The sequence below is a fragment of the Homo sapiens genome, chromosome 14 (genome assembly GCF_000001405.40).
Source record: "Homo sapiens chromosome 14, GRCh38.p14 Primary Assembly".
Lineage (NCBI taxonomy): Eukaryota > Metazoa > Chordata > Mammalia > Primates > Hominidae > Homo > Homo sapiens.
Window position 1 is genome coordinate 69,334,232 of NC_000014.9, and position 15,159 is coordinate 69,349,390.

The 15,159-nt window shown below is 50.1% G+C and overlaps 1 protein-coding gene across 7 annotated transcripts in view, besides 3 other annotated features; it reads left to right on the top strand.

Annotated features, from left to right (window-relative positions):
- Nucleotides 1-15,159, top strand: part of GALNT16 (polypeptide N-acetylgalactosaminyltransferase 16) — a 126,707-nt gene that overhangs the window by 74,601 nt on the left and 36,947 nt on the right. For all 7 annotated transcript variants that reach the window (XR_007064036.1, XM_017021498.2, XM_047431618.1 and 4 more), the window contains 5 exons: nt 4,420-4,546; nt 5,296-5,388; nt 7,450-7,533; nt 12,809-12,950; nt 13,646-13,771. Coding sequence is in view for 6 of the 7 variants with exons in the window: in XM_017021498.2 (XP_016876987.1) it covers nt 4,420-4,546; nt 5,296-5,388; nt 7,450-7,533; nt 12,809-12,950; nt 13,646-13,771 (572 nt within the window). In the remaining variant the exon portion in view is untranslated. The remainder of the gene's footprint in view (nt 1-4,419; nt 4,547-5,295; nt 5,389-7,449; nt 7,534-12,808; nt 12,951-13,645; nt 13,772-15,159) is intronic.
- Nucleotides 8-508: an enhancer, noted in NCBI's record as "H3K4me1 hESC enhancer chr14:69800956-69801456 (GRCh37/hg19 assembly coordinates)". NCBI's record gives its function as "activates a minimal SCP1, AML or CMV promoter by ChIP-STARR-seq in primed H9 embryonic stem cells {active_cell/tissue: H9 hESC(primed)}" and the evidence as "EXISTENCE:reporter gene assay evidence [ECO:0000049][PMID:30033119]".
- Nucleotides 509-1,009: an enhancer, noted in NCBI's record as "H3K4me1 hESC enhancer chr14:69801457-69801957 (GRCh37/hg19 assembly coordinates)". NCBI's record gives its function as "activates a minimal SCP1, AML or CMV promoter by ChIP-STARR-seq in primed H9 embryonic stem cells {active_cell/tissue: H9 hESC(primed)}" and the evidence as "EXISTENCE:reporter gene assay evidence [ECO:0000049][PMID:30033119]".
- Nucleotides 14,470-14,970: an enhancer, noted in NCBI's record as "H3K4me1 hESC enhancer chr14:69815418-69815918 (GRCh37/hg19 assembly coordinates)". NCBI's record gives its function as "activates a minimal SCP1, AML or CMV promoter by ChIP-STARR-seq in primed H9 embryonic stem cells {active_cell/tissue: H9 hESC(primed)}" and the evidence as "EXISTENCE:reporter gene assay evidence [ECO:0000049][PMID:30033119]".

Below are 15,159 nucleotides of genomic sequence, written 5' to 3' on the forward strand. Positions count from 1 at the left end.
GGTGGGGGCAAAGTGTTCCAGTAGGGAGCTGGAGGGGGCTGGACCCTCACACACTTGCTTCTCAGCTCACGGTGTTGGGGCCACAGAGTACCAGGGAAGGGTTACCAAGTGGGATCGGAGCCCAAACTCTGGACTCCAGTATGTGTGGGCTGGCAAGCCAGTCAACTCTTTGAACCTCAGTTTCTTCATTTGCAAAACAGGGTTGCAAGTGAGATGGAGGTTAGATAAAGGGTGAGCATCAGTTAGGGTCCTGGCAGAATACGGAAGGTGCAACCGACTTGAGTGTTTATTAAAGGGCTTATTTACATGGTGCGGGCAGGATAGAGGGAACCATAGGGACAGCACAGTACTGGGCAGGGCTGTGACTTCTGGGAGCTGTAACCACCCCAAGGTCTGAAAGACAGGGTGAGGGAGCACCCCACGATGGAGCTGTGGTCTTGGGGCACATGCAGCCAGCCCATGGCACCAGGTGGAGAGTGTCAGGGCTAAACACTCACCCTCACTCTACCCCCACCCCGTCATCTCCTGCTGGTGCCTCCCTGTCTGCCTGAGGAAGGGAACCCAGCAGTGCAGCCCCCAGGGGCTGTCTCACAAACAGCGACGTGGAGACGGGGGCGGTGGGGAGCACCATTCTGGGGGTCTCCAGGAGCAGGGGCAGGTCCTTGGTGGCCTGTTCTTGCCCTCTTGGTGGGCCCAGTCCTTCACAGAGCCCTCTCCCACTGCTTCCTTCTTCTTCCTGACCAGGTGTTCTGAGCAATAACTAGCACTGGTGGTATCTCACCCATTTGACAGGTAGAAAGACTGAGGTGGATGCTGCCTTCTAGATTTCAGTCCGGAAACTCCACATCTAATGGGCGTATGCAGCTCCTTTACCAGAGCCACTTATGTGTTGTGGGACGTTGGCAAAGGCACAGTCTATGTCTCTGAGACGTTAGGAGCAGGGATTCTTTAACTCTTTCTCCCTGATGAGGAAAATAGCAGTGAGGGGGCTTGCAACAGGCCTGATCCCGACTCAAAACCAGCTGGAGTGGGAATGGGCATGGGACTCCCCCAGCTTTGTAACTTGCTTTTGGAGGCTGTTTCCAGGCAGGGTTCAGAGAAGTAAATTCTGGGAACTGGGGTGCAGTGACCCCTCCATTCTGACCCCTTTCATGTGTTTTGGGTCCAAGTGACCCGCTTTGTGTCTTCAATCTCGGCCTGAAGGGCTTTGGCAAAGCCAGTTTCCTGTGAAGACTTGGAAAGCTGGGAAACCCACAGTCTCCTTGCTCTGCCTCCAAAGGCCATTTTTTCTTTTTCTTTTTTTTCTGAGGCTAGAGACAGAGAAACAAGTGAATGATCAAACAGCTCATTTCAAACTCTGCCTGAGGCAAGGGCTCCGTGGTTGGAGAACTTGAAAGGTGAACCACAGAGTGGTTCTGGCAAGGGTTTTGTTTCTTAGAAGAAATTCAAAGAAATGTCTGGGCTAGCTGCAGTGCTCAGACGTTCAGCCGCTGGGACCAGTTTTGAGCTATGAGACTCCTGTCGCTGGTGGGTTTGAGCCTTTCCTTTTATTCCTTTATTGAAGGAAGGGAGATTTCCAAACCAAGACGTGTTCTTTTGTCCCCAAAGAATTCCAAACTCGGGAGCCCAGAGGCCACCTTGAGTGGGGCTGGCAGATGTGCAAGGTTAGGATCCCCAACAAAGATGTGTTGGGGATCCTTTTAAAACATAGATTATGTTGCTTCTGTGCTCAAAACCTTGCAAGAGTTCTCATGTCATTCTGAGGAAAACCCAAACTCCTTACTGGCTACAGGGTATCTGCCTTTCCCTGCAGCCCCGCAGCCACACCCCTGCCCTCACTTCCCACTTCTCCCACCCTGCCTCACTCCACGTGGGCTGCACGGCCTCCTTTTTTTTCAGACAGAGTCTTGCTCTTATTGCCCAGGCTGGAAGGCAGTGGCACAATCTTACTCATTGCACTCTCTGCCTCCAGGGTTCAAGCGATTCTCCTGCCTCAGCCTTCTGAGTAGCTGGGATTACAGGCACACACCACCAGGCCCGGCTAATTTTTGTATTTTTAGTAGAGACGGGGTTTCACCACGTTGGCCAGGATGGTCTCGAACTCCTGACCTCTCAGGTGATCCACCCGCCTCAGCCTCCCAAAGGGCTGGGGTTGTAGGCGTGAGCCACCGCCCCCAGCCAGCATGGCCTCTTTGAACTTGCCAGCTGTGCTGTTGCCTCTAGGGACCTGCCCTTGCCGGCTCCTCTGCCCGGAATGCTCTTCTCCTGCTAGCCACAGGACTTGCTCCCTCATCTGTTTCAGGTCTTGGCTCAAATGTCCCTTTTATAGTGACAACTCCCCTCATCAGCCTGGTTTAAAACATAGTCTTAGTCCTCCCCCACCACCATCCACTGGCCCTCTTCAGCTCCCAGCCTGATTCATTTTTCTCCATGGCCCTAACTACCATCTGATATGCTGTATTTATTTTATTTTTTATTTTTATTTTTTTCATTTTATTTATTTATTTATTTTTAGAGACAGAGTCTCCCTCTGTCACCCAGGATGGAGTGCAGTGGCACGATCTTGGCTCACTGAAACCTCTGCCTCCCGGGTTCAAACAATTCTGCCTCAGCCTTCCAAATAGCTGGGACTACAGGTGCATGCCGCCACACCCGGATAATTTCTTTTGCATTTTAGTAGAGACGGGGTTTCACCATGTGGCCCAGGCTGGTCTCGAACTCCTGAGCTCAGGCAATCTGCCGCCCTCAGCCTCCCAAAGTCCTAAGATCACAGGCGTGAACCACCGCACCTGGCTGACATGCTACATTTTTATGCATTTTCTTGTTTACTTGCATTTTTTTGCCCCTTATTTTATGGAGTTCCCGTCTTCTCACTTCCCTGCTAGAGTACAAGGGAATCTAGAGCAGTGTCTGACATATAATGAAAATTTGCTGAGTGAACTAAAGAATCTGACAGTGTGGCTTGCTGGACACAATGTGAACTTGATGCTGCACTTCTGCAACTGAATATTTGAGTGACCTTGGAGAGGTTATTTAACAACTTTGAGCTTCAACGTCCTCGTTAAAAAAAATAAGGCTAAAAATCCTGACTTCACATGGTTGCAGTGAGAATTAGATATTGGATAGAAAGAGCATGGCATGTAGTAAGTACTCAGTAAATGGATGGTTACTGCTATTGTTATGGCCATTGTTGATAATAATAACAATAGTTAATAATATTATAGACATTATGGGCTGAGTGGGATGAAGTGACTTAACTAGCATAACAAAGTTGGGATGGCAGAAATGGAACCAGAATGCAGATCTTCGGCCCCCCAGGACTGTGCCCAGTTCTACGCCTTAGTTGCTGAGGCCAAACACAGAGCTCTGACCAGGAGAAGGGACGGATGCCTGGCAGTTTATAGGCAGACCTAGGGAAGCCCATTGATATAGCCATCCTTACATGTGGGTCCAGGTATGCCAAGTGTCCGGTCCTGGCCCTGAACCACATCTGGACGTCACTTGGTGCACACAGGCTGGCCAGAGGTGGGCTTTAGTCCTGCTTCCTCCACTCTGCCCTTTGCTAGTTACTGGGAGGGTCCTGACCAGCTATGCCACGTGAGAGCCCCCAGGCCTGGTTGGAGATCATGAGTGTCCTTAGAGCCAGCTGAGGAGTGGGAAGAGACTATAGGGTTAATATGAAGGAAAGTACGAAATCAAAAGAGATTATGTGAGATTCAGCCAGCTGTCAAGGTGGGTCCTTACCATAAATGGCAACTGGTGAGCGGAGATCAGAGTGGTAACTTTTGAGGTCCCCTTCTGGGCAGCAGGATGGCCACTGCTCTCCCGACACCACTGGGGACCACAGTCATCCACAAAAGCTGGTTCAGCTCCACCACCGCTGTCAAAAGGAGGCATGGCTCAAGAGGGCCAGTGAGAGCCTGTACAAGGAGACCAACTGGGTCAAGAGGGAGGTTGGGGCCAGCCCAAGAGGTGCCAGCTGGAGCAGCCTGTGGTTTGGTTGGTGGCTGGTTTTCCGACCTCTCAGGTGCACAGAGCTGGCTGACGAGCAGATGTGTTTTTCCTTAGCTCATGTCTGTCTGGGGCTTTCTAGACAGAGCCTGGAAATGATGCCACTGTTTGGTTGTTTTCCTTCTACTTATGTTCTTGGTGTTCCTTCAAGCTTTTTCCACTGCTCTTCCTGGAATGGGCCACGGGGATCATGTGTATATGTGTGTGTGTGCATGTGCACGTACACACGTAGAGTGGGCAGTCAGGAACCTGTGCAAGGAGTGGGAGCACTCCATTTGAGCAGGCCCAGGAGCCCCGACCCCAACATGTACCTCCAGTGAGACACCAAAGGGAAGGGAAGCCAGCCCCTTCCCACCCTCACTTGCCAAGGAACCCCTTCCTCCTCCTGACGGCTACTATTTCCTGCAGAGCTCTCCTTCAGGGTGTGGATGTGTGGTGGCAGTCTGGAGATCGTCCCCTGCAGCCGGGTGGGCCATGTCTTCAGGAAACGGCACCCCTACAACTTCCCTGAGGGTAATGCCCTCACCTACATCAGGTAGGTCACCGAGAAAGGAGCACGGGACTCAGAGGAGGACACCAAGGCCCAAGCCCCCAGCCTTGCCAGTTATCACTATGTGACTGTGGGCAGCCACCTCACTTCTTGGGCCTCAGTTTCCCCATTTGCCCCCTCTGGTAACATCCTGGGATTGCAGGTACCTTCAGGGGTGGAGGGAGTTGCCACCAGGTCTCTCTTGCCTTGAGACTCATATGGACTTCCTTTGTCCATATGAGTCTCGGAAAATTGGCCAAATCCCCAACTAAGCCATGCTCTCCACTCATGGAGCCCCGAGTGCTGGTCATGGATGCCTGTGCCCCAACCCTGACTTGATCAACCATCTGTCCATCCCTATCCCCAGCTACAGGGTGCACTAGTCTCAAGGGAGAGTGGGTAATGTCCTAGAAGACCACTCCACGGTCTGCTCTCCTGAGGAGGTTGGCAGGGGAGGATGAGGGACTTGTCATGAGCACCCTCGTACATGTGGATGGTTCTTCACCTTGTCGAGCTCATGCTTATTCGTACAGCGTCTGGAGCAGCAGCTGCCCAAGTCTAGCTGCATACCTACAAAGTCGATGGGTATTGACAGACTGTCTTCCAAAAGGACCGTGCTAATCTATACCATCCAAGTATCACCTTGCTCCTGAGATTCTCATCGTCCTGTATTCATGGATCGATTAATCTTGATCCTGACCGCTAACCCTGTTGCTTCCCTGGTGACCTTATTTTGCTCTTTCCTCTCCTTTTAGGAATACTAAGCGCACTGCAGAAGTGTGGATGGATGAATACAAGCAATACTACTATGAGGCCCGGCCCTCGGCCATCGGGAAGGCCTTCGGCAGGTGGGCCCCCCCAGCTCCACTGTCTGACTCCCTCTACCCACATTAGCACAACCCCAGCAAAATACGAAGTGGTATGTACGCCAGGGAACCACCCGCCACCTCCCCAGCCACTGAGGTCCCACTCTAATGGGCTTCTTTGGGTCCTGGGAGGGAATGCAACCGCAGAGACAAGACCTTAGGCTTTGAGGAGCGTGAAATCTCATGGGAGAGAAGGCTCGCTTATGAAAAAGAGCTGCCTGTCCACAGCTGCCTGCAGAAGAACAGGCATCTGTGGAACTGCTTAGGAGGGGGCTGCCTGCAGAAAGCATTTGGGGTTCTGCCTCCACTCCCTGTTCAAAATTGAGATCTGTTAGCCTATTTTCCTGTCATGGACTGTTAGGACTATGGTCTAGTTAAGCATTTTCAAAATGCAGATGGGTTGTGAAATCAATTTAGTGGGTCGTGACCAGCATTTAAAAAGAGAGAGAGAGAAGTAGAACCCTATAGATTAGATTAGTACAGAGCAGGATAGAAAATAAGAGTTGATTGCAGTTAAGGGTTAGTATTGTCCTTATGAAACTCTTATTTCCGTTGTGGGTGCATGTGTGTGCATGCATGTACCTACACATGTACAGTTGCCCCTCTGCATCTGCAGGGGATTTGTTCCAGGACCCCCCACGGATACCAGAATCCACACAGATGCTCAAGTCCCTGATATAAAATAGTGTAGTATTTGCATACCCTATGCACAACCTCCTGAATATTTTAAATCATCTCTAGATTACTTATAATACCTAATACAATGCCTACACATCACGTCATTTGCATGGATTCAATGTGGTACTCGATGCGTGGCGAATTCAAGTTTGGCTTTGGAACCTTGTGGAATTTTTTTTTTTTTTTCTAGATGGAGTCTCATTCTGTCACCCAGGCTGGAGTGCAGTGGCACAATCTAGGCTCACTGCAACCTCCATCTCCTGGGTTCAAGCGATTCTCCTGCCTCGTCCTCTAGAGTAGCTGGGATTACAGGCACGTGCCACCATGCCCAGCTGATTTTTTGTGTTTTTAATAGAGATGGGGTTTCACCATGTCAGCCAGGCTGGTCTCGAACTCCTGATCTCAAGCGATCTGCATATCTTGGCCTCCCAAAGTACTGAGATTACAGGCATGAGCCACTGCACCTGGCCTGAAATTTTTTCCTAAGTATTTTTGATCCAAGGTTGGTTGAATCCATGGATGCAGAACCCACAGATACTGAGGGCTGACTGTACATGGGGCGTATTATATTACAAATGTAAGATAGTTATCTCCTACTTAAGCTTGTGGTCAGAAAAGTTTGAAAACACTATTAATGATGATCAATGAATCTTCTCCCTATTTATTCATATCTATCTCCCTTTTTTTGAAAAAATAAGTTATGTCACTAAATATTTCTTGTAATGAGGAACTAACATTTACTTAGCACCTGCCCTGTGCTAAGTGCTTCACACTTAATTCACTTGATTCTCACAAAAGCCTTCTGAGATGAGTGGTCGTGTCCCCAGTTGAATGTAGAGGAAACTGAGGCTCAGATAGCTGGTGACGAGGGCCGTCAACCAGTGGCCATTGTGGTGGGTGTACCTGAGGAAGGTGAGGATGGCGGTGTCCCAAGGACACATCTAATGGTTTTATTTGCCAACACATCTAAAGATGTTTAAAGCTTGCTCTTCCTGCTGTTAGACCTTCCTCCTGTACTTCTCATTAATTCTGCAAAGATAAAGACCAGTTCATGGTCTGCTAACAGAGGTCTTAAGGAGTGAGAAGCCGAGAGAAAGGCATGGTCCCGTATGGTCTGTGCTCACCCTGAAAGGTGAGCTCCAGGCAGGAATTTGATGAGTGAGGCATAGCCAGGAGACCTGCCTTGAGCTTGCAAGTCAGAGAATAACATCAGATAAGTGGCCAGGGCTGGACATGGCAGGCTGGAAGTCTCCTGGTCCTTGCCTGCCTGAGATAGTTGGGGCTGGGGGACAGGCCTCTGGCATCCTCCCTCGGGCTGCCTTCCACACTGGCAGGCCAAAGCCCAAGCCCTGCCTCCTCCTACAGTGTGGCTACGCGGATAGAGCAGAGGAAGAAGATGAACTGCAAGTCCTTCCGCTGGTACCTGGAGAACGTCTACCCAGAGCTCACGTGAGTGCAGCCCTCATCTTGTGCATCCCCCAGGCGGGTAGGGGGTGGTTGGGGCCAGCGGCTTTGGTCCCACCCCACCCTTAGATCTCCTCAACACTGGTGATCTGGCTTTCTAGCTGCCGGGTTTTATCTTCACGTGACGGCTGTGGGGGAACTGAGAGGGCATTACTAGGGGTTATAAATTAGGTGTGGTGGGAACCGAATTTTTAATGGTTTCAGATCTAGATATGGACGTTATCCCCTTAGGAAACAACACTGCATTACATAGCAAAGGCTGCAGAGACATTCGTCCCCTTTAGCCCTGTTCTCTCCCTTCTGGGAGTTTATCCTAAGGAAATAAAGCAACCAAAGCAGAAGCTGTTGACCAGCAGATCAATAGCTGTGGTGAAAAAATGAGAAACCGCCAGGCACAGTGGGTTATGCCTGTAATTCCAGCACTTTGGGAGGCCAAGGCAGGAGGATTGCTTGAGTCCAGGAGTTTGAGACCAGCCTGGGCAACATAATGAGACCTTGTCTCTACTAAAAATCAAAAAATTAGCTGGGCGTGGTGGCACACACCTATGAGTGGGAGGATCACTTGAGCCCAAAAGGTAGGGGCTGCAGTGAGCCCTGGTTATGCCATTACACTCCAGCCTAAGTGTTAGGGTGAGGAAGAGGGAAGGTGAGGGGAGGTGAGGGGAGGGAGGGAGGGAAGGTGGAAGAAGGAAGGAAGGGAGGGAGGGAGGGAGGGAGGGAGGGAGGGAGGAAGGAAGGGGAGAGGGAGAGGAAAAGAAAAGAAAAGGAGAGAATCAACAATAGGGGTTGGCTTCAGTGAATCACTATACATAGATCTAAACAAATATTATGCACCCATTAATATTATAATCATAGAAACTGTGAAGAAAACACAGGGAAATGTTTGCTCTGGCAAATGAGAAAACAAAATGCAAATGATGTGTGCACTCGAGCTGTAGTTACCTGGGAATATGTGTGCGTTCTCACAGGACAGTGGGCAATAAGCTACGATGGCCTTTTCAGTGTCTCAGTTACATCCACGTGGTTCATTTCCTCACCTTCCTCAGGCCTTGACTCAAACGTCCCCTTCCCAGGGAGACTTTCCCTGAACACTCTGAGTTTGCAGCTCCGCCTCCCTCCCCAGCATCGTCTCCTCCATGTTCCTTGTAGCCGTTATTATCATCGGCATTATCTGGCCAATTAATTTTGTTGTATCTCCCTGAACTTGCCTGTAAGTTCTATGAGGGTGGAGGCTTTGATCTGTTTGTTCACTGCTTTATCTCCAGCACCTGGAACAGTGCCTGTCATAAAATGGGCACTCAGTAAATATTTTTAATGGAACAAGTTGCACAGTCCGTACGCCTCAATCATGTCTAAAAGCCGCATGCGCCCTCTATAGCTGTCACCTTGGGGAACACGTGTCCCACCGCTGCCAGCTTTCTCTCAAGGATGCTGCCATGGCTTTCCAGAACACTCCACCCCTCAGAGCTTGCATATCCTTGAAAGAGGCAAATCTTTGTCCTTTGAGGACAGGTTTGATTTTTGGCCAACAGCCACCATTAAGTTGTAGCCAAGTGCAATGAATAAGCTAGAGATGATTAACCCTGATAATTATAATCCCAGGTCCCAAATACAGCATGACTCTAAATGAACAAGATTAAACTGACTCTAGGAGCAATTTCCAAGAAGTTCCAGAACAATGTGAGCACTGGCAGTGTCACTGGAAGAAAGTCAGTGGCCTAGATAACCCCAGCTCCCTGGACACTAGCTGTGATGGGAAGAACATTAATTTATGAAAATGCAACTTCCTGAAGTGGTCACTTCTAGGGGACAGTGTTCATTCAGATGCATCATTTCTGAGACCCTGAAGAAAAAAGAGCAGTCACTTCTTTACACTGTGTCAGCGTTCATACAACATTTGGGTGAAGCCCACTAGTTCCAGCCCTAGGGCAGGAGCTGGGCAGCCTGTGGGAAGAGTGGGGGAGGCCTGGGAATGCCCTTCCTCTCCAACCTCAGTGCCCTGCCACAGGGTCTGATGACACCCCCAAGGACCAAGGGGAAGAAGTGTCTCATAACTATCAGAAACCTGGCTCGATCACAAGGCAGGAGAGTAGATGAACCAGCTACGTCGATGAGGAGCAGAAGTCCTCTTCTGTTTGTTCTGCCACTGTGTGAAAGTTAAAATAATTTTTTGTTGCTAAGATGGAAACCCCAGACCTCATTCCTGTCTGGATTACTCACCCCCAGTTCCTAGGCTGAGGGGCCAGGAGTGGATCAATTTGCTGATTAGAAAGGGGACCCATAGGCCTGAGTGATACCAACTTTCCTCCAAACAGGGGGTCCCTAAATAGTTGCCTACACTTGCAAACAGTCAGTGGGGAGACCGAGGAGGCTGAAAGAAGAGGCTTTTGCTTTCCTAGGCCTGCCGTGGCTCTGCCCCTTCTCCAGGTTAGAGCTCTGCAGCTGGCCTCAGGAACTGCTAATTTATTACTTGCATTAGGACTATCAAGAACAGTTGTTCAGGCTGTGCGTTGCACAAGCACACCATGTTTGTGAGGGTGCTAGTTGCATAGTAGACATTGCACATTCATGACACTAATTCCAAGCAAATGGCAGTAAGCATTCTTCTAACAAAACCAGTATGTCAGTTTTCTAACAGAAAGAAGTAGTGTCTTGGGGAATGGATCTAATGGCAGCCTGTGTACATAGAAGAGACCCATAGAGAAGGAAGTGGATGCAGAGTTTAGAGGGCTGCTGACAAACAGGACAGCTTAGCCTGGCACTGCTGGGGAGCTGGGGAAGGATGGTGACGACTGCTATTCCAGCTGCTCCAGGACTGCTACCACGATGACAGCTTAGGAGCTGCATCTGATCTTGAGATTGCTCCCAAGCCTAGGGTTTCTTCCGTAAGCATCACTGGGCATTGCCACTCTTGGTCAGTATCCACCTCACCTCTGAAAGCTGATCAGCTTGCACAACACCCTAAGCAACAAGGGAGTAGCAGGGTCTGGAACAACCCCTGGCCCTCGTGCTGTATTCCCCCTGTGCAGTTATCAAAGAGGCCTCAGTACCCATCTTGTCTCTATAGAGAAGGGAAATGTAACACATTGCTCCTGGATGAGGCTGAGAGTGTGGAGCTCCTGCCCTCCAACATGCTTGCACATGGCAGGGGTTGCAAACTCAAATTCTTACAGTGGTCAGGCAGGTGATGTCAATAAGTCAAATGGGTAAGGATGAGACAATAGAGAGTTGTGGGGACTGGGGCAAAGTGCGATGCAGAAGCCCCACTCAGAGGGGGCAGCTGCTACTCACTGCAGTGGATTAGTACCATTCTGGAATGCAAGCTCATTGTGGCCTGATCTTCCAATTTTTAAGAGAAGCTAGATTCAGATTTGAAGGTTTCTATGTAACCTTAAAATCATTCAATATTGCCAACTAATTAAAAGCAACAACCACCACGCTATGCAGGTCAGACCATGTCCAGGGTCCAGATTCAGCTTGGCAGCCAGCAGTTTGCCACCTCTGCTAGAGAGTTGCAATGCCTCCCAAAGGGAGTCTGGAGAGGCACAGGCTGCTGCCAGGGGTGTGGGAGAGGAATTGAAAGGGTCTCTCTGAGCCTCCTGTGAGCAGATCAGTTCTGGAACTTTGCGGCTTCTAGCCACCCCTGAGGAAGGAAGACCTGGTTTGGTCTAGATCCTGCAGATGTCCACATCAAAGAATGCCAAACATCTTATAATGGCCCAACCCCCCAGGCCCAGATTGTTTCACTGACAGAGGTAACAGGAGGCAGAGAAGGCACACACGCTGTAATCCCTCCTGCTCCCCTGTAACTCCCAGGCCTGGTGACTCCTTAATCCAAGAACGAACATAACCTGAACTCAGGTATGCAAGCCTGCAGCAGCTGGGGCCGGCAGCTTCCTCAGGTTTATTACCCATAAGGTGTCAGTGTGTGTGTGTGTGTGTGTGTGTGTGTGTGTGTCTGTATGTGTGTATAAGCATATTTTCCTGGGCATATAAAGTGTTTTAATAATATAATATTTTAAAACTTGCCTGTTTTACTTAATAGTGTGCTGTGAACATTTTTCCATACTAGCAAGTATCATTTCACAGAGTCATTTTTTAAAATTTTATTTTATTTATTTACTTTGAGACAGGGTCTCACTCTGAAGCCTAGACTGACATGCAGTGGTGGCATTATGGCTCACTGCAGCCTCAACTACCTGGGCTCAAGTGATCCTCCAACCTTAGCCTCCCAAGTACGTGGGACTATAGGCATGTGCCACTGTGCCTGGATAATTTTTTTTTTTTTAATTTTTGTAGAGATGGGGTCTTTCTGTGTTGCCCAGGCTGGTCTCGAACTCCTGGTCTCAAGTGATCCTCCTGCTTTGGCCTTCCAAAATGCTGGGATTACAGGTGTGGGCTACCATGCCCAGCCATAAGTCATTTTTAATGGCTACAGGGTTTTCTATCGTATGGATGAATCCGAATTTATTTAGCCCAGCTCCTGTTGTTAGATATCTAGAAATTTCTGGTGTTTTCAATATAATCAACCACTCTGAGATGAATGTCTTTTACAACATTTATAATTATTTTTGTAGGATATGTTCCTACAAGGGGCAATATTGGTCAAAGATGTGTGCATTTTTAAGGGCTTTGAGACACAATAGCACACTGCCCTCCTGAGAAGCTGTGCTAATCTATGCTCTCACCAGGAAGGTGTGAGAAGATTCAGTCCCACAGCTGTTGCCGACACTGGGCATTGTCATTAAATTAAGTGTGTGTGTGTACAAATGTACATACATGGTAAATAAACATTGGTGACTCTGATACGTAGTTCTTTAATCATTACTGAGATTAAACACATTTTCATATTTGTGTTTAATTTGCCTCTTCAAAGCGCTCCCTTCCCTGTCATTTTGGGATTGATTATTGAGCATGCATTTTGGCCCCAGGCTCTCCTGAGGCTTTCCTCTTTCTGGACTGAGGGGCTCTGTTTTTCCAGCCTGAGCTCCGCCCATGGCTCCCCCATCCTCTATGTCTCAGGCCCAGCCTCCAGGGCAGAGGGTCCCAGAGCCACTTGGAAGAACCCCTGGGGCCGAGGCCCAGTCTTCCCAGAGGCCACTCCTGCTCCTCACCTCCCCCTGCTGGCCAGGCTGCTCCCGGGCCCCTTCCCACGGAGACCTCGGCGCTCCCAGAGCTGATAGGATGCTGACGTCTGGCAGAGGGTGTAGGTAAGCCTTGGGGGGGAAAGCACAAGCCTGACTGCTGCCTTTTCTCTCAGGGTCCCCGTGAAGGAAGCACTCCCCGGCATCATTAAGCAGGGGGTGAACTGCTTAGAATCTCAGGGCCAGAACACAGCTGGTGACTTCCTGCTTGGAATGGGGATCTGCAGAGGGTCTGCCAAGAACCCGCAGCCCGCCCAGGTAAGGACCTCGGGTAGGAATGGGAGTGGGAGAGAGCTGGAGGCATTGTCCAGGAGTGGGGTGAGGGACTTCCCCCTACTCATTCTCCTCCTCTGTCTACATCTTACACAAACCCACTTTGCCAGGGGCCCCTAGACCCTGCTCCTACACATTCATATCCCCTTTCCAGCCTGTCACTTGGGTATCCTGTGTGCACCACCTGCTTTGTTCTTGCCGAGGGAGAAGAGCTGCCCAGATAGTGCCCAGTTGTCTCCTGAGATCCAGCTGGGGTCGGCTCATGTGACAGGCAATGTCCAAGACTCCTGTGCGCACATGGGTGCAACATATGAGTGTTGCACCCACATCGAAACTAAAGCAGGTCATGGAGACTCCAGTGAGGACCAGCTCTCAGCTGCCTTGGTTCCATGTCTTGTCATTCTCTCTCATCCCCCACAGTCTCTTGGCACAGCCCTGACTGCCCTCTGGCCAGCTCCAGCTAAGCTCCCCCACCCCAGCATTTTATTACCAAAAAATTCAAACATATAGAAAAATAGTAAGAATTATGCAGTGAATACCCATACATCTACCCTAGCTCCTACAATTATTTGTAGAAATCTTACAAAAATATGCCGTGTTTTTGCTTTATCCCCTATCTACCCATCTCTCCACCCATCGCTGTACTTTTTGACTTGGCCTTTCTGCTCCCTGCCTTGCAGGCATGGCTGTTCAGTGACCACCTCATCCAGCAGCAGGGGAAGTGCCTGGCTGCCACCTCCACCTTAATGTCCTCCCCTGGATCCCCAGTCATACTGCAGATGTGCAACCCTAGAGAAGGCAAGCAGGTGAGTCTCCTTGCCTCTGGCCCAGAGGCCCAGCAGCCCGAGGGGCCATGCCTCAGGGTGGCAGACCTTGGCAGGAGAGCCCCTGATTGACTCAAATAAGCCCTTCAGAGCGAGGATCTGTGGGGAGGGGGAGCAAAGTCTACATCTAGGTCAAGCCAATTATTCTGCCCATGAGGAAATACTTCTTTGGGTAATTATTTGTTTAATGCCATCCTGCCAGGCTGTGAGCTCCATGAAGGCAGGGACCACTTGTCTTGTTAACACTGTATCCCTAGCTCCTGACAACCACCACAGTTCAAATAAGTGTTAGCTTTTACTGACAGTCTGTGCTAGAAGTTTGAAATAGATCATCTCATCTAATCCTCCCAGCCACCCAGTGACGTGGGTTCTAGTACTACCTCCATTTTATAAGTGAGTAAGCTGAGGCTCGCTGAATCTAAAGAATATATGTCAGATCACACAGCTGAGAAGGGGTGGAGCTGGGATTCAAACCCAGGTCAGTGACTTCTAGGCCCACAGTCTTAACCCAGCACATAGTAGATGTTCAATAAGTATTTCTTGACTGTTGGCAGACTAGGGAAACTGAGCTCCAGACACAGTGATGTCCAAGCTGGCATGACCAGCCTCACGTGAGCACTGCTTTTTCCATTGATCCGACACTCTCACCCACACTGTCACCACTAATCCTGGGAGACAGGTCAGGGTCAAGGAAGAAAGTGATGCACAGAGAGGTGGAGTCACTTGCTCAGGGTACACAGCAACCAGTGACAGTGGATTTCCAGAATCCAGCCAGCTCTCTTCTGTGCTACTCCCTTCCTGTCTTGGAGGGCTCCCTCACCACCCAGGGAATGGGACCCAAGGCCCAGAGGCTGCTCCAGCACTTCCCCTGCTCACCCTCCTCAGAAGCCCTCCCTGTGCCTGCCACTGGCTAGCCTGCCTCAGTCGGTGCAAGCAGTGAGGAGGGTGCCTGGGTCTCTGATTTGGCCTGCATGGTTTTCCTCCTACCCCTTTTTCTTTGCTTGGGTCAGCACGTTTTTTAAAGGATGAACAGCAGTTTGCTGTGCCATTCTGGAAAGCAGCCACAGCCTCTCCCTCCGGCCTGTGTGTGTCTGAGGGATCTGTGTGCCCAGCCCACTTGCTGGACCTGTGGGACACTTTAAGCGCTTTTGGATGGTGGGGGGATGCAGCCCACCCTCGGCCCTGCCCTGCAGTGGGGCTGGTGCAGTGTCTCCTGCACCTAGAGCACCCACCTCTCTGAGGGCAAATCCTTGAGCCCACGCCCACCCCCTCCCACTGAGGAATTATCTCCGAGCAAAGCCTCCACTCAATTGCCCCTCTGGGGCTGAATCACACATTTCCCCCTTTGTGCTGACCCAGCCTACGGGGTG